At 46.1% G+C, this 17799-nt stretch overlaps 1 long non-coding RNA gene across 1 annotated transcript in view, besides 2 other annotated features; it reads right to left on the reverse strand.

Moving 5' to 3' along the window:
• Positions 1-3239: 3239 nt before the first annotated feature.
• LOC101929129 (uncharacterized) overlaps positions 3240-17799 on the reverse strand; it is a 52221-nt gene continuing 37661 nt past the window's right edge. Inside the window, exons 3-5 of the long non-coding RNA XR_001751593.2 lie at positions 6513-6590; positions 4096-4951; positions 3240-3441 (exon numbers count right to left, since the gene is read on the reverse strand). This is a non-coding gene — a long non-coding RNA (uncharacterized LOC101929129). The remainder of the gene's footprint in view (positions 3442-4095; positions 4952-6512; positions 6591-17799) is intronic.
• Positions 10128-10187: an enhancer, noted in NCBI's record as "active region_9665". NCBI's record gives its function as "activates an Ori minimal core promoter by ATAC-STARR-seq in GM12878 lymphoblastoid cells {active_cell/tissue: GM12878}" and the evidence as "EXISTENCE:reporter gene assay evidence [ECO:0000049][PMID:35858748]".
• Positions 11018-11077: an enhancer, noted in NCBI's record as "active region_9666". NCBI's record gives its function as "activates an Ori minimal core promoter by ATAC-STARR-seq in GM12878 lymphoblastoid cells {active_cell/tissue: GM12878}" and the evidence as "EXISTENCE:reporter gene assay evidence [ECO:0000049][PMID:35858748]".

Here is a 17799-nt window from a genome sequence, read left to right on the forward strand (position 1 = left end):
CTTCTATATGGAAGAAAGGAAGAAAGAAACCAGCAGGCCTGGGAAGATGCATTTTGACAAGTCTCTTCCCGGGTAACTCTGATGATCAGCCAGGTATGGGAATCAAACCTCTGGCCTCAAGTTTACACACATTTCCTTCTGGCTCTAACATTATTCCATGTCAGTTGTCTTCATCTTTCCCTCTTTGACCAACTTTATCTCCAACCCAATAAGACATCCAAGTCCATATGACAGAAAAGTCTTAAAAACCCTTCCAGCACCCAATCCTCCCGGCAAGGAAGGACTGAAACCAGGGGGAAAAACCACATATTTTAATGTTCAAATGCTTCAAATAGATTAAGCATTTGGTTTTACTTGGATTATTATTTTTTCTACAAATATAAACCATTTTGCATTTTGGAATCCTTCTGCAAACAGAGCAGTTTGTCTTTGTGTTTGCTCATTTAAAAACAAATATTTGCCTGCCAAGCAAATACTGTCTCTTAGGATGTGCTATTAATAGGATAATTAGGCAGCCGGTAATGAAAAGGATTGCTGGTAATTATGGCAAGATTTGTTTTGGCATTTGAAGGCAGCGATGGAGGCTGGAGTGCTAAAATCTACCTTAGAGTTAATTAGTACAATTAGAACACACCTGAAAAAATAGCCCAGCTAATGAACACTTCACTTTACTTTTAAAGTGACAGCACTCGGAGCTTCCCAGGCTGCTTGGGCAGTCCCAGCCCTAGCATTTCTAATGTGACAGAGAGTCACAAACAAGGCAGAGAACTTGAATTTGCCTAACCTTCGTTTTCAAAAGCACTCATTCTCTGTAAGCCCTTTCCTCTTTCCCCTCCCCACCACCCCTACCCATCCCACCTGTTTGAAAGCAATTTCTCTTGTATGTTCTCCTTGGAACCTCATGATAACCCTTCAAGATGGATAAGCAAGGTTTAGTTCTTTTCCCATTTTTCAGATAAGAAAATTGAGGACCAGAGATGCCCGGGGATTGCCCAAGGGCACAGATGAAGAGGTCATAGATGAGGTCAGCAGTCGCAGTCTAGGCTTAGAAAAGTTGGAGAACGATTGAGAGAAAAGCAGCTTTCTGATTCGTGTAGGGGTCCCTGTGTCTGCAAGAAATGCTGGGCTTGCCGAGTCACTCCATAAAGCAGGTCTTCAGGGCCCACCAACCTGCGGCCCTGCTTGACTTCATTGGTGGTAACAAGATCTGGGCTTGAAATAACTAAAATCATCCAGCTTGGAAAACATTCTCAAACTTAGCCTTTTTTCTCTCTTCTCTGTTAGCCTTCTCCTTTCTGCGGCTTATCCTCAGGAAGGTTTTCCACTATGAGCAGGCACTGGCTGGGCATGCTGGGCATTGATGGACCAAAGCACACGTGTGATATTCCTGCCAGTATGCATGTGGCGGCATGAATGCTTGGGGGATGTGTGTGTTTGCATGCATGGGGACTTGAGTAGGAGGTACACACACACACACACACACACACACACACCAGGGGGAAGAGCATTAGAGGAATGAAGAGAGGGAGGAAAAAGGCAGTCAATCTAAGGGAAGCTCTGCAGTGTAAGGCAGGCCATTCAATGTTTCAATTCTTAGTTTCCTCATTTTAAAAATGGGGATAGAATTGGTATATCCACATCATAGGTTTGTCATTAAGAATACAGTGAGACAAAGTCCACAGCATGCCTGGCCCATCCTCATCCCCATTCCTATCACCACAATTATTGTTATTATTGTCATCCTTATGGATGTTGTTATAAAACGTGTTTTCTCCCTGACCCTTTGCATGGCCAACACTTGAGTTATCCTCATTCAGACCCGTTCCCTTGTCCCTGCCCCAGGGTTCTTTTCAAGGCACCACCCTGCTCACATCTGCACCAAGAAACTCCCTCTGCCTCCATGACTCCAAACTCCATGTTTTACAGCTTGGAGGTTCCACTGGGACCCTTGGAAATCACAGAATGTGCACTTTTGTGATAATATATCCAATGTAAGAGAGTGAGTGTGCGTATGTGTAGGTTGGTGGGATGAGGAAAGGAGGGCTGAAAAATCCAAGGAGACCACACCCCTCCTGGATTCGTGAACCTTGTTCTCTATACAAGGCAAATACTAATACACAAGTCAGAAGAAAGGAGGAGACTCAGGCCTGAGATTATTGACTATCTCTTCCTGCACTGAACCCTCAAGAATCTTTGTCCTCAATTGCAAACAACAATAACAGCCACCAATGCACCAGATGCCACGCTATGCACTTTCAAACATGGCATTTAATCTTCACAGTAACCCCAGGACACAGGTCTCATCATCTTATTAAGAATGAGGAAATTGGGGCCCAGAGAGGTTAGGTAACATGTCCTAGGCCACACATCCAGGATCAAAGCTGAACTGACTGCCCCTAAGCTCAGATTCTTTCCATTGTCCATGGCTCAAAATCTCCTGCTGAGAACTCAAGGACTTGGGGCCATGACAGGCACATTTTTGGGAATTGTCAAACCTCTTGATCACCCAGTGACCATTAGCACTAGGAATCACAGGAACAGAACTTGCATTTGTGAAGTGAACTCAAAGAAGAAAACCTCTCACTTAAAAACTGAAATCTATGTCCCCCACAGTAGCTGGATTTGCACTGATTAATTAGAAAATTGCATTTATATAACCCTTTAATCTGTATTTATGTGTTGCTAAGGATGCAGCGAGCTGGGCAGGGAATTACATCCAGATTAGCCTTGATCCATAAGCAGCCTGGATTGGAGCTGCTTTCTGTACTAAAGGGGAGAATCAAAAGGATTTGGGGCAGGGATCCTCAATGAGGACTCGCTCTCTCTCCTTCCTTGGATCCAAGGAGTCTGAGGCTTTCCAGAGCCACCTGAGAAATCCTGCCTGGCCTGCTTGGTCAAAACAGGGGGTAAGATTACCCAAAGAGCTAATTTCCAGCTGAGTGTGGCACTTGGTTTCCTAAACAAAATTGGTTTTATTCTCCTCAACATGTGTTCAGCAAGATTAAAGATCCATCAACTGCACAGCTTAATATGAGCTATACTGGAAGCAGCCCATGTTCTCCTGGAGTAGGGGTGGAAAAGAGGGAGGGGGCAGAGCCTGAAATCCTGTTTATTGAATCAGAAAGACCATTAATGGATAGAGGATATTGGAGAAGGGATGGCAATGCTTTGTCATATTTCAGGGAAAGAGATTTGATCACACACACACACACACAAAACACACACAATGTTTTAAAGTATTTCCATTTCCATTGTCATTTTTTTTTCCTTCTTTTTAAGTTGGATTAACAGATGGGCATGGTTGGGGGAGATGTTGCTGGGAGTGTCAGTTCCATTCTTCAGCATGAAAGGCGGTTTGACTCTGGGGCCATGTGGGTGTGGGACTCAATGAACAATGCTCGGTCCAGGCTGCCAGATGGGGCAAGTGGGGCCAAGTTGAGCCTGGAGGTGAAGGAGGGAGTGAGACAACATAGTTGGAGTTTGACTCAGGGCAGGGAGACACTTGCTATTCCCATCGTTGTCAGGAAGTTCAATTTCATTGAGTCTAGTGTGACTGAAAGTTGTTGACCTTGGCCAGTCTGTTGCCCTACCTGGCCTCTCCTACATGAGTTATAATGGAGTAGACTGAATGACTGATGAAGCTTTTTCCAGCTCTAATATTCTGCTCTTACGAGCATCTCTATGGATGTCAGAGCAAATCAAAGCAGCATTTTCCAAACCTCTCTAATACTACCTAGCAGTGGTACAGCATTGTGGCTTAAAAGTGTGGGTTCCACAGTCAGCCTGCTGGGGTGAAATCCAGCCTGGCTCTACTGTTTATGGGTCCTATGGCCTTGGACAAGCTCTTTAACCTTTTTTTGTTGGTTAAAGAGGGCTTGTTGCCCTCCTCTGTAATATTGCAGTGACAGCAACAGCACCTATATTACAGAGCTGATGTGAGAACTAGATGAGTGAATATGTGCAAAGCTGCTAGAACAGTCCCTGAGGACCAGCAGGTATTTCATAATGATAACTCGAATTATATTCACCCTTCCTCCTGCAAACCACAGCACCCTCGCCACCAGGTATGACTCATCTGGGACTCAGAACACATACCTTGGACAGCTCCTGAGTTGTCCTTCAACCTGACACGTATATGGGCCATGCTCCTGTAGCACACACCAGGCTCTTACAAAGGAGGTGGGTGAGCCATTGTCAGCCTCTATTTCATAAGCTGCATCTCAGTTTCTTCGTGGGATAGATAGACCTCACTCCCTCTGGTCTGGTCCTAGATGTAAACAAAAAACAAATGTCTTCCGACACTCAGCATTCTCATTCACATTTATACTCTCCCTTACCTTGGATATTTTGCCAAGAAAGTGCACATTCTCTGATTTCCAAGGGGTCCAGTGTCACCTCCAAACTGTAAAATAACCTGCACTTTCATGGAGGCAGAGTGTCTTGGGGCAGATGTGAGCAGGGCAGAGTTTCGAAAAGAGCCCCAAGGCAGGGGCAGGGAATGGGTCTCTGCTCCACCTGACTTTCCTTGCTGAGCCTCCCTGCCCCCATCTGTGAAATCAGGGCATGACATTCAATTGCTCCATCCCTCCATGTGTTCAGGGGGACACGGGTCCTAAAAATGCTGTCAGAGGAAAAAAATGGCCAAAAAAATTGGGAAATGTGGCTGCTACATCCCCTTATTGATAACAAGCAAAATATTGAATGCGCTGAGAGGACCTGCAGTTTAAAAACAAAATTACTGAGTTTCACTTTAGCCTGGGGTTTCTAGGACTGTCTACCAGTAGAGTCCTCCCTTCATGTAACCTCTCATTGGCCTCCTATGGAATTGGATGGCAATCTCTCATCACTTCCAGTTCCAACAGACTGTGTCTCCTCCCCCAGGAAACAATAAATAAACTTGCAAGATTCCGTCATCTCAAGAAGAAGTAGTTCAGTGTCCTCATTTCTTGGCCTGCAGGAGAAAGAAAAGAAGAGAAAACCAGAACCATGTGGCCAGCTTTACACGCTATCAGAAAAGGAACCCATGACCCCCCGACCCAGGGCAGCAGGGACAGAGGTGAAAGGCTGTCCAAAGAAGATTCAGGAAGCCCAGCATGAGCTGTCTGACATAAATAAATAAATCAGGAGGCCACCCTGCAAAGCAGGTTGTATTGCATTATTTGAGCAAGGCTGCTAGACATCTGCACGTTTCTGTTAGCCCCCATCCCTCCTGTTGCCATACATTTAAGCTAATCCTATGGGGCCCAGGATCATAAGAATAATCCTCACATCTGTGTGGGCTTTTCAGCTTTCGAAAGCTCATTCACGGAATTATCTCATTAGTTCCACTCAATGCCTATGGGAGGGACTCAGGGATGATCATCGCCATTTGGCAGATAAATGCTAAAACCCAGAGAAGGAAAGTGACTTTCTCAAGGTCACACAGGAAAGCAGTGGAGAATTAAGATAAATGCACCAGGTCTGCTGATCCCCAGCCCGGGACTCTCCCAGGAGAATACTACTGCCTTACAAAGATAGCCCTGAGACCCAGATATTTATCCCACAGCTGCCCAGGGCTATGTCTGGTCCCAAAGGAATCAGTTGTTCACCCCATTGCTGCTGTATGGGAATGGAACATCATCAAGAAGTGATATTGGAAAGACCACAGGCTTCACAGTTGAATTGTCCAGGCTCAAATCCCAGCTTCCTGGTCATCAAACCTCAGACCATGTGGTGAAGGCTTGAGGCCCCTGCATTTGTTCCTCACCCCAAAAGGTGGGAATGATAAGTTTGCAGTGAGTGTCACTTGCTTTATCTGCTCTCCATCTCACCTTCTGACAATGACTCCCCACCTTCTGGGAACTGTTCTTCCTCCAGCTCCAACCAGGCGGCTCTGAATGAAGCTTCCCACCACAGCATCCCTACCTGCCTGACTACAGGAGCAGGCATGTGGCCCCAGCCAGGCCAATAAGAGGCCTTCCCTGAGATTTCTCTCAAAATGAAATAGCCCCTTCCTTTCTAGGAGTGAAGCTGAGGAGCTGTGACTCCAGCCTCATGGAGAAAGGTGGCCTGAGAGATCAAAGTTGGCATGCAGAGAAAAGCAGAAGAGAGATGGGGAGAGAGTCCTGGAGGCATCCAAGGCCTAGGATGCAGTCAGCCCTGGGGCCCTGATGCCCCTGCCCTGTCCATGGGTGGATAACATGAGCCTGTGAATCATCTGGGCAGCCCCTTCTGAGTGCCTTCCTGCATACCCAGGCTGTCCTTAATGTATAGCAAATAGGGATGATCACCCCTGCCACTCACTTTGAGGAGCCCCACCAGCACAAATACCAGGAAAGCAGGCAGTGGTCCAAGAGGCCCCTTGAATAGGCTCCATATAACAAAAAAAGACCCAGGTCTCCCCAGCCTTCAGAGACTCCTGGAAATTCAGAGCTTATAGGGGTTCAGCGACTGGAGTCCAGTTGTCTCGTTTGAACATAAGGGTGAGAGAGTCCATTTCATGTTCCCGAATGTTGAACCATAAGAGAACTTACCTAGTTAGAAAGTCTCAGGCAGCAGGATCCCTGATCCAGGCTCTTGGTCTGGGTGCTGTTTGGGCTGCCTTCCCCTATCTTAGAAGACAAAAAGGAAGAAGATGCTAGTGGGTACCCTGGACAGTGAGAATGCACCTGGATTCTCTGCTTTTCTCAAAAAGGGTTATGAAGATCAAGCCCAGTTATATACTATGTAGGCATAAAAGGACCTATCACAGTCTAAATACTGTCTAAAACCAAGACATTATTGTTATGAAATTATGAGCTCCAGATTCCCTTGACACAAAGCCTGACTTTCTCCAGGGAAATAAGGGAAAGCCAGGTTGTGTGCAGGAATTGGAGGAGAGGTAGTTAGAAAACTGAGCCAAAATCATTTCCCAGTGAATCTTGGCCAGGCAGCCAGCAACTGAGCCCCCTGCCTCCCCATGCCCTCTACCTACTTCCCTCTAGTTGCATAAACTTGGGGAATCAGGTGACCAGCCAACCGTCCTGGTTTGTCTGGTGGGCATGGAACCACCCCTCTGCATGCTCCTTCACAATGCCTGTCATCACATAGTATGTAGGAGAAACAGCTAGGGATCAGGCTCTGGAACAGGAGTGTAGCATTTCGTCTTCCTCATAGGGTGGCCAGCCGTCCTGTCTGTCTGGGACTGAGGGCTTCCTGAGTTAATAGGTGCCTGGCAAGACTCACTAGCACCATATCAGGGGCATCTTCCTTTACACATCTGTCTTATCCTGTACCCCGAGCTACTGTTTTCATTCTTACCCCAGGGCCTGTCATATCCGTAGCTTGACTCAAATACTGTCGCATCCTGTGCCTCTGTCCATGGTTCTGAACCGTTCTTTATGAGCTGGGGCAAGGCTAATTCTCCTGATGTGAGGTACTCGTTGGTTCATCGAGGCATTCATTCAATAAATATCTTTACAATTTAGCTTTGCCTATATAACAAACCACCCCAAAACATAGTGGCTTAAAGTTTTTTAAAATTATCAATTCTTATAATTATATGGGTCACCTGGACCATTTTGGTCTGGGCAAATCCTTCTGATCTGTAGTCAGCTGGTGGTTTGGCTGGGGCTGGGTGATCTAGGATGGCCTCACTCATATGTCTGGTAATTGATAATCTGTTGATTGGGGCACCTCAGTTATCCTTTATGCAGTCTTTCCATCACATTAGCTCAAGCTAATTTGAATGGTGGACACAGGGTTCCAAGCCTGCAATAGAAGGCAAGCTCCAATACTCAGGTTCTTCTGATAAGTCTACATCACATTTTCTAATGTTCTGTTGTCCAAAGGAAATTGCATGGATAAGCCTAGAGCCAGTGTTGGAGGCACTGGGCACAGGTAGGAGAATGATTGTAGCCATTTTTTATAACAATTTACCACTTCTCCAAATCTCCTGCATCCCCAAAGCACTATAACACTGCAAATAATGGGATGACCCTCTGTTGAACCTGCAGAGAAATGACTTTACCCCTAGAGCTGTTTTAAACTAAGAGTCCACTTGGCTTCTGCCAAAACCACTTTCATAATTGTATCAGGAGCAGTTGAAAGTCTCTTCGAACCCTCCTTCACAACATTCAGAGGCACAATTCGAGATCTTGCTGAACCACAAAACTAATTTTTTTGCTTCTAAATGAACAAAAACCCTCCTGAATTGTAAGCCTTTTTGACAATCTTCAGTAATAATTTTTTGAGTTGTGCACGGCTGGGCAATAAACCCCTAGTTACCTTCCTGGGTGAAGGCAGAAGAGCTCCAGAGTACAGTAGAATTCCCAGGTCCCCAACTCCTCAGAAAAGAGAATATTTTAGAGAGCATCTCCTAGGAGCCAGAACCTTACATAAATTCTCCTTTAACACTCACAACATCCCTTTTTGACAGTGTTTGTTGTCTCTGTTTTATGGAGAAAGGAGCTGAGGTTGGGGAGATTAAGTATCTTGGTCAAAGTCACAGAGATGGCAAGTTGCATGGCAAGATTTCAAACTCAAGCATTTGGACCTCAAAGTCAGAGCTCTTTCCACTATACCTCATCATGTCAGAGCTGCAGAGCATCTAGACTTGGGTATGGGGCACAGAGCTTTGATTCTAGCTCTGCCCCCACTTCTGTAGCACCTCGAGACACTCCCTTGTTCTCTCTAAGCTTCTGTTGTCTCATATGCAATAGGAACATTACATGCACCTAATCCAGGCTCAATCAAGGTGAATGCAAACATGTTGCTCCCCGAGCTGTAGAGAGGAAAGACAACTGGTATTTTGGGAGGGTGATTTTGACAGCATCTTTCAAAATTTTGGATGTGTGTGTTCTTTTATCTGGCAGTTCTACTTCCAGGAATTCATGTTAAAGAAACATATTCACATGTGAGTAAGAATGCATGTAAAAAGATGTTTATTTCAGCATTGTTTATAATAGCAAAAAAAATGGAAATAATATAAAGGCCCAAAGAAATTATGCATATCCATGATACAAAATGCTATTTATCATTGAAAAGGATCTACTGATGCAAAAATGTCCAAGATATATTACTTCAAAATAATAAAGTAGATTTATATATGATGGCACAGGAAGATCACAGGAAAGTATTTTAAGTGAAAAAAATAAATTTTAAGATGATCAATAAACCTACATATGCTTATTTATGTTTATACGTAGAGAAAAAATCATTTGGAAGGAAACACATCAAACTATTCACAATGGCTTCCTCTAGCAGCAATAAGAAGATGATGACTTCATTTTTTGTTTGTTTATATTTACTTTCTACATTTCTATATTGTTGAAAATGTTCACAAGTATGTATTCCATTTGTAATGCAAAGAAAGAGCAGAATTCTAGTGCTGTAAGAAACTTTGAAGATCACCACGGCCCAGAGAGAGAAGCCAATTTCTCGCTGTCATGCGGCCGGCCATTGGCTATCAGGCTGAAACCCTCTTGATGCCCAGTCCAGGCCGGCTTCAGCATCAGGGCAAGCTCTTTGGAAATCACAGAAGCCACAGAAGGCTGAGGAATTGATGATCTAACACAAAGGAAACTGCACCAGTCAGAGAGCAGAGATCAGCATGTGGGCCTGGCTCGGCCACCTACCTGCTGGGCTGGGCTTGAAGCAGGGGAGAGGCCTTTTCCAGCCCTTGTAGTACCCAAAGGAATGCCACCCTGAGGTCTCAGGTCAGGCCTCTGCTTAGCACGTGACCATCATGCTCCCCAGCAAGTCCCCCTCATTCCCCTCTGGCCCTGCCTTTACTATCCTCCCTGAGTGCCATGGACACAGCAGATGCACAATACAGGCAGCCTTGAATTCTACCAGGGAGGCTAGGAATGGCTGGGTGGCCTGTGGTCATGACCTGCCAGCAACTGGGTTGGAAGAGAGGACTTCTGAGCCCTGCAACTGACGCCATAGGGGCATGACTTTGCATTATCTGGAGCCAGTTTTTCCCTCCAGAAAATGGGCATAAGGGTGACCCATTCAAGCCATCATAAATAATGTACCACTTATAAAGCCAACCTCTCTAACTGTCCTGGGCTCATGTGACATTTTATCAAGAGCCCATCATGTCCTCAGTGTGTGTGGGTCCCAGAGGGGCAATCTCACTCCCCTCCCCTTCCAGTCACCCCTTACTGTCTCCTCCTAGAGCTGTGACCACCTGGGAAAACAGGACATGAATGCATGAAGCCACGGTGAGTCAGCAGATGGCGTGTCGTTCTGTCTGAGCATGGCAGGAGGTCAGAGAAGGGAAAGCCCCGAAGATGCCATTATGCAGAGCCCTGGCCTCCACCTCCCAGCAAGAGCTGGACCCAGCCTGCAAGCATGGCCAGCATGATTTCTGACGAAGCTCCCAACAGATGTGGCTTTCCAGATTCAGGTCTTTGCATTAGGGAAGAGGTGGGGAGGTATGTGAAGCAGTAAACAGAGATGCCGAAAGTTCTAAGTGCATAAAGTAAATATAAAGTAAATGTATATTTGGGAGAAAAGGTGAAATAGCTCTCTGAGTTTTCCTCTGATATGAAGCCTTTGCTTGAATCTTTAGACATGGTCTTTGTGTTTCACGTCCCGTGTTCTCAGAAGGACTTGGTGCTGTGTTTCTGTTGACATTCTTGCCCTGCCCCCACGATAGGGAGCTGGACAACCCATGTGACCTTGTTACACCAAGTAGGGTCTGTGGACCAGCAGCATCGGCATCTCCTGGGACCTTGTCAGAAACAGAGAATCTCAGACCCCACCCAGACCTACTGAATTTGAATTTGCATTTTTGCAAGGTCTCCAGGTGTTTCCGGCGCACAGTCATACTTGAGAAGCCGCCTGGCTCCAGGACGCAGGTTTCCCCTGGGGGTGTGCACTCATGCAATGGCAGGCATGTACCCTGACTTTAGGTGGTACAAGAGTGAACATTTACTATTTTCATGGGTTTTAACTTCAATGTCCCTTTATAGCAAATGGTGCATCATGTACAGAAATGGTAAGTTGACATAAATGGTGTATTTTAAAAGTGAGTCAATTCAAAGAAAACATTCCCTGACTAATAGTCTGGGGTGCTGAGAAATGACACCTTCAAAGGTGGGACAAGAATGGCTATTTCCAGAAGTGATGATCCAGTTTAGGCCCCTCAAGGAGGTAGGAATGAAGGGGCTGCTGCAGAGAGATGGGGGCTTGTCCAAGGCCAACAGTGGGAGTGTGGTGACGGAAGCGGACTGGAACTCAGCCCTGTCCAGGTCAGCAGCGCCCCTTCCTCCCTCTGCCCTGGTTGCACAGCTCGGCCTGAGGCTGGCTCTGCAGCCAGGGTGACGTCAGGAACTGGGACATCTGCAGGTGATACCATGCATATGCACAGAGTGCATGGCTGTTACTACAAACAAAGAGAATGTGTAGTCAGTGGAGCCCAAGGCTGAGCCATTTGGAGATGAACTGTCTCCCCTCCACCCAGGAACAACAGGGCACCCAACTCTTCATTCATGAATAAACATTGTAAGCTGCTCTGTGCAGGCTGAGAAGCCTAATGTTTTCTAGGTTTTCTAGATATGTTGGTGAGGTTTTGCAAACAGGAAATCTGAAGTTAGAAAGGAATTGGTCATTTACCTTCCCAGCCATCTCATGGACTTTGCTCAAATCTCTCAGATGGAGTCATTCACACACACACATACACACACACAAGCAACTTCACGATATGTTTAGGTTTTCTCTAAAGTTTTCTCAGCTGTGTTTGTACTCCCTGAGGTTTAGGGCTGTCGGTATCTGTTTTTTCACTTCTTCTACAGCACAGAATTGAGTAGTAAATTCTCTAGTCTCCTGTCCCCTTCCCATTGTCTTTTGCCTAGCTCCTTATCCTGGCATTCAAGGCTGCCATCGCTATGGCCTCAGTCTAACTTTCCAGGCTGTTTCCCATTGGTATCCTCTGCACACGATGTTCCAACCAAAATATGCCATGAGCCACATATATGAAGTTCAAGACCAGCCTGGGCAACAGGGCGAGACCCAGTCTCTATTAAAAAATAAAAATAAAAAAAGAGTAAACCACATGTGGTCAAACCATGCCCATGCTCTGCAACCTTCACACCTACTAGCTTTCCACAAAAGCTGTGCCTTTGCCTAGAATTTCCCTCCACCCTTGAAATTCTTCTCCCTTAGGGCCCAGCTTAAATGCCCTCTCCTCCAGGAAGCCTCTGAATTGTCCCCAAGCCCTTGAAACTCCCATAGTCCTCTATTGCTACCTCATTGTGACATTTAGAACAGGTCTTGAGTTTCAGCCTCCACAGCTGTAGGGGAGTGTTCCCTTTTCTCTGTGTTCCAGGCTGCCCAGCCCAGGCCTGGCTCATAGAAATCCCACCAGGTAAAATACTTTGGCCCTAGGTAAGTCCTGGGTTTGATTCCCAGCTTTGTTGGGACTACTAGTCAGGGTTGATGCTGGGTAAATTACCTAACCTATCTACTCAGCTATAAAATAGAAATATGAATCATGCCTTCATGGAGAAGGCATGATAGTAAAATGAGGCAGCGGGTACAATGTGCTTAACATTCTGCTTGGCACCTATTAAGTGTTTAATATATCATAGCTCTTATTCGTGTTATTGATAATAATAAAAGCAAACATTAAATGGATTGAAAGATAAAGTCATAAAATCTAGAACTGGATGGCCTCTGCAGGTGTCTGGGCCACTGGCCCATCCTGCCCACCTGCCCACAGGCCCCTTTGCCCTGCTGTGCCTCCCTCACATTCTGGCCCCAAAATGGTTGCTCCTGGCTGCTCCCTGAACCCAGGCCTGCCAGAAACCCTCTCCTTTTCCTTTACCCTGTGTCTCCAGTAAAGATCACAGGCATTTTAGGGGTCTGCAGTCTTCTTTGGGTTAAGAAGCAATGATCTGGTGCTAGCTCTCATTTTATGGGGAAGGAACCTGGCCTGGAGGGAAGGAGGTGTTTGCAAGGGAGGAGGTGCTCTCCAGGGAGGAGGTGCTCCCCAGGGAGGAGGTGATCACCAGGGAGAGGGTGCTCACCAGGGAGGGGGTGCTCACCATGGAGGAGGTGCTCCCCAGGGAGGAGGTGCTAACCAGGGAGGGGTTGCTCACCAGGGAGGGGGTGCTCACCAGGGAGGAGGTGCTCCCCAGGGAGGAGGTGCTTGCCAGGGAGGAGTCCTCGCTACCCCAGAGCCACGGCACTCAGACCAGCAGGGCTCTGCATTTTCCAGAGTGGCATTTCCCCCCTCTAGGTCTGGCACAGATGTGGCTGCTGAGAGCCTGCCTCACTTATTCCTGTTTTCAAAGAACAATGACCCTTTCCTCATCCATATCTTTCTTAACAAATGTACTTGTCTGAGAGAAGCATAACTTCCAAGTCTTCCTTCCCTGAATTGGGAAGAGACTTCAAGGAGAGCAAACTTTCCGAGGACCAGCCCTGGGGTCGAGCCTGAAATAGAATTCCCAGCAGGTAGTCAGCCCCTTCCTTTCCATGGAGGGGTCAAAGCCTGCTCAGGGCTATGCTCACAGGAGCCCCTCTGGGAATGAGCAGGGCACTTCCCCTCCTAGGTGTTGGGGTGACCCCACAGATGGGAGGGAGAGGGCTGGAGGCAGCTAAGACTCTGGAGAGGTGTGTCAGGCTGGAGTCAACTCTGAGGAGCAGAGGCAGGGTGGGACAGCCTGAGCCAAACACCAGGGACAAAAGACGAATTTATGTGAGCCAGCCTCCTTTGAAAGCGAGGAAGCAGGGAGACAGGTCAGTTGACAGCTATAGGAATACAGTAGAAGTCGGATTTCTCAAGAGCTTACAGTGAGCACCAGCTCCTCTAAACCTTGGAGCACCCCTAGGAGGGAGACTCTCATATCATCCCCACTCCACCGTTGCAGTCAAGGCAAGACACTGGTTCCATTTCAAATACCACTCAGCTCCACTTGGGAAAGACAAATACTAAGTCTGAAATAACGAAAAGCTGCCCAAGTGTTTGGTTGAGAGTGGGACAGGAGATGGGGTTTGGGGACCAGGAACGGCTGCACAAGCCCAACCTGAAATGCTTACCCCTAGAGTCACTCCTTTGGGTTAAAGTGACCCAAGGATAATTGAAGGAGGTAAACAGGAGAGGGAAAGCAAGCTCTTCTAGTTGCTTACCAGGAAAGTGATGACCAGACAAGCTGCCTGCCCTTGCCTAGCAGAGCTCTGGGACCCCCAGTTTAGGTCCAGGAACAAAAGGCAGGGTCTGGCTCCACAGAGTAGAGACTTCAAGAAAAACCTGGAGAGGCTTCCCAACAGAGAGGACCTGGCAGGTTTTCTTGTAAGCCAGTCAACCATCTAGCTTTTTTAACATCCCAAGGAATGCCCTTTATGAGCTTAGGATCAGCAGACAGGGTGAAGGTTAGAGCTGTCAGTTTACACGGTCCCCACAGGCTTTTACCGTGTATTGTACTATTTCAGCAGTGCCCCAATACAGGCAAAAGTTAATAAAGAAGCCAGATTTTAAGGGCAACCTTTTCCTCTGCTATGGCAGGCTGCATTTGAAGAAGTCTTGATCTTAGTATAGTAGGTTGACTGCTTGAATGGCCCAGACAGTTTGCACACATCCACCCCATATCCACAGCCATTGCCCCAGGACTTTGCAGTTCCTCTCACTAAAGAGGGGGAGACTACTTCCCCACCCTTAAGTCTGGATTAGGCCAATAGAATGTTGCAGAAATGACATGACAGTGAGTCATTTTCCAGCGCGAGCCTCAGGGACTTTTTCCTCTATAACCGGCATGAGAAGCTGCCCAAGGTAGGCTGCTGAGGATGAGGAGCAGAATCCATCACCCTGCTGCCCAGGTGGAGCCACACTAGCTCGGCCAAAAGCCAGCCAACCCCAGGCATGTTCAAGAACCCAGCCTAGAGGAGCAAAGCTGCTGGTCTACCTGCAGCTGAGCCCGCACATGCAAGCCATAGACAGTTATTATGTGCCTTTGAGGTTGTGTGGTTGTTTGGAATGCAGTGTTATGGTGGCAATAGGTAACATACGGTTAGTCCACTTATTTTCATCTGATAGTTGACCGTGAGTAGTTGTGTCCCTGACTGTCTTCCATCCCAAGTATAAATTTCTAAGAAAATGTAGCCAAAAAGTACTTGGAGAGAAAAAGCTATTTGTTGGCTTCTGAATTTTAAATTAAGGCTAAGATACATTTTCCCCATTCAGAGAAAATATATGACCTAAAGAATCAATTATTACACTTATTAAACATTTTTAAAATAAATCAATTGGACTTCCAGCTCATCTCTGCTTTCTCTCAAAACTTTTACTTAAATTATAGTCAGGAAGTTTAAAGAAAGATAAACTCCAAAAAGAGATTGGGAGAATAAAAGAGAAGATGGCAAATGAGGTTTTAAGAAAATTTTGGGAAATAAGAAACAGAGGGACAACAGATGAATGACTTCCATTTCAGCTTTGTCTCTCTACAAGTACCAGTAAGGGCTAAACTAGAAGAAGCAAGCCAATTTACGCATCAAAATTCTAGAAAGTCTCCGGAGTTGGAAACACCAGGCACTCCTGAAGGCAGTGGTGCTGGGAGAAGCGGAAAATGTAGATTTGGTGGGAAAGTGTGTTCAACCACAGTAACAGAGTAAACCAAGAGAGAGGAAAGATGGCATCCAAGAAATGGGAACTCAAACGCAGGAGAGAGGCCCTCAAAATAAACAAACAAAAACTGCCAGGATGATGCTGGAGGGAGACCTACGGTGATAGCTGTGCATACAGTGGACTCGAAGAGCACCAGTCCAGATTGGAGCAGAAGATCAAGAGCTCTATAAGGGATGTCTCCATAGAAAAAAACAAGACTGGCCCACTCTCTAATGTCTTTATATATATGTGTGCATATATATATATATATATATTTTTTTTTTTTGAGACAGAGTCTTGCTCTGTCACCCAGGCTGGAGTGCAGTGGCGCAATCTCAGCTCACTGCAACCTCCACCTCCAGGGTTCAAGCAATTCTCCTGCCTCTGCCTCTCAAGTAGCTGGGACTACAGGCACGTGCCTCCACACCCGGCTAATTTTTTGTATTTTTAGTAGAGACGGGTTTTCACTGTGTTAGCCAAGATGGTCTCGATCTCCTGACCTCGTGATCCACCCGCCTCGGCCTCCCAAAGTGCTGGGATTACAGGCGTGAGCCACCGCACCTGGCCTTTAGTCATATTTAGAAGAGCTTGACAATTCCTCTGAAGAATGTGGAGAGAAATTCCTGATAAAAGGCAATTATTAGCTGCAGGAAAAATTGAAATTGTAAAAGAAAGGAAATGTAATTATAATACATTGCGTGATTCAGCTGCAAACCATCTTCAACTTGTCATAATGGCATAAACACCAAATATTGATGTTACCAAAGCTTGTGATAGAACTATATTGAGAAGGTAGGGGAGAAGAGTGTGTGCGCATGTGTGTGTAAGCTAAATTCTAATATGTGAAGCCAATAGATGATATATAAAATTGAAAAAAGTCAGAAAACAGAGGTAAAATTATATTAATCAAAATATGGATATGCATGTTCCGCACATGTATCCCAGAACTTAAAGTAAAATAAAAATATATATATATATGGAGCTGAAAAATACAGAAAAAAAAGTAGTGAAAATGATTGCCTAAAGGAAGTAGGACTGGAGGCTGGGGAAGAGGATGGCAGGGAACTGCCTTCTTCCCCTGGAAGTATTGTAATATCAATAAGCTTTGTAGACAATATGCGCATATATAGATAAACAGGGTATATTATATATATATATATATATATATATATATATATATATAAACTCTGATAAAATCTTAAATTGTAAAAATCAATTGTGGTTCACATGTGCTAAAATTACAGAATGTAGTATATATTCATGAGGCAAATATTTATTAGCCACCTGCAGAAACAGTAGAGCAGGACACCTTTCCCACCTCCACAGCTCACCACCTAGTTGGGAAAACAGGCCTACTAAGTGACCATGTCCCTGTAGCACACACGAGTGCTCTGACAGGGCAGGGACGGCATGTGGCAATGGCACTGAGCAAAGAAAGCTCCACAGAGGCGGTGATGGTACTCCTGGGGATTTTTTTCCTTCTACTTACCTGCCTCTTAACAACAGAGAACTTAAGATCTTCTTTTCAGCTGCATCGCCTTCTTAACACATCTCATACAAAAGTAAGGGATGATTCTCATTCTCATCATTGTCACAGTGTCTCCGTGTCAACAGGCTAAACAGCTCTCTAACACTAAGAAGCATTCAAAAGTGGAGAGCTAGTGAGTTCCCAGGCACAGGGGTGTTCAGGCTGAGCCTCTGAGGTCAGCAGATATTTATCACGAAGCCTAGGAAAAGGAGGGTGGTGGGTACTTCCTGGATGAGAGACTGGACTCATGGACCCCAGGGGCCTCCCGTGGACGGCGGGGAGCCCACGCAGCACACGGATCAGCCTGCGCTCTGCCATCCCTGACAGCCCCAGTAGGATCACAGGGTGAGACAGCAGCTCCTGCCCAGCAGCCCTGACCCAGAACAATGGCAGGTCTGGTTCAACATCTCAAAGCTGTGCTGTGGTTCATTTTGAAATCAGACATCCTCCAATCGATCCCTCCTGGAGAGCTGTCAGGCTGGCTGCTTCCTGGTGTCAGCTGAGAGGAGGGAAGCAATTCATTTGTTGGGTCTGACTGCGGCTAAATGAAATCAAAGACAGAGAGGGCACCTTCTGCCAAGAAAGGAAGCCTTTTACTCAGGGCAGCCACAAAGAACCATAGACAAGAGGTGGCATGGAGGTGGGAGGGCAGTGAAGGAAGATTGGGACCCGGGAATTCTCAAAGCTATCCCTCCTCATTTCA

Source organism: Homo sapiens, chromosome 15 (assembly GCF_000001405.40).
Source record: "Homo sapiens chromosome 15, GRCh38.p14 Primary Assembly".
Classification (NCBI taxonomy): Eukaryota; Metazoa; Chordata; class Mammalia; order Primates; family Hominidae; genus Homo; species Homo sapiens.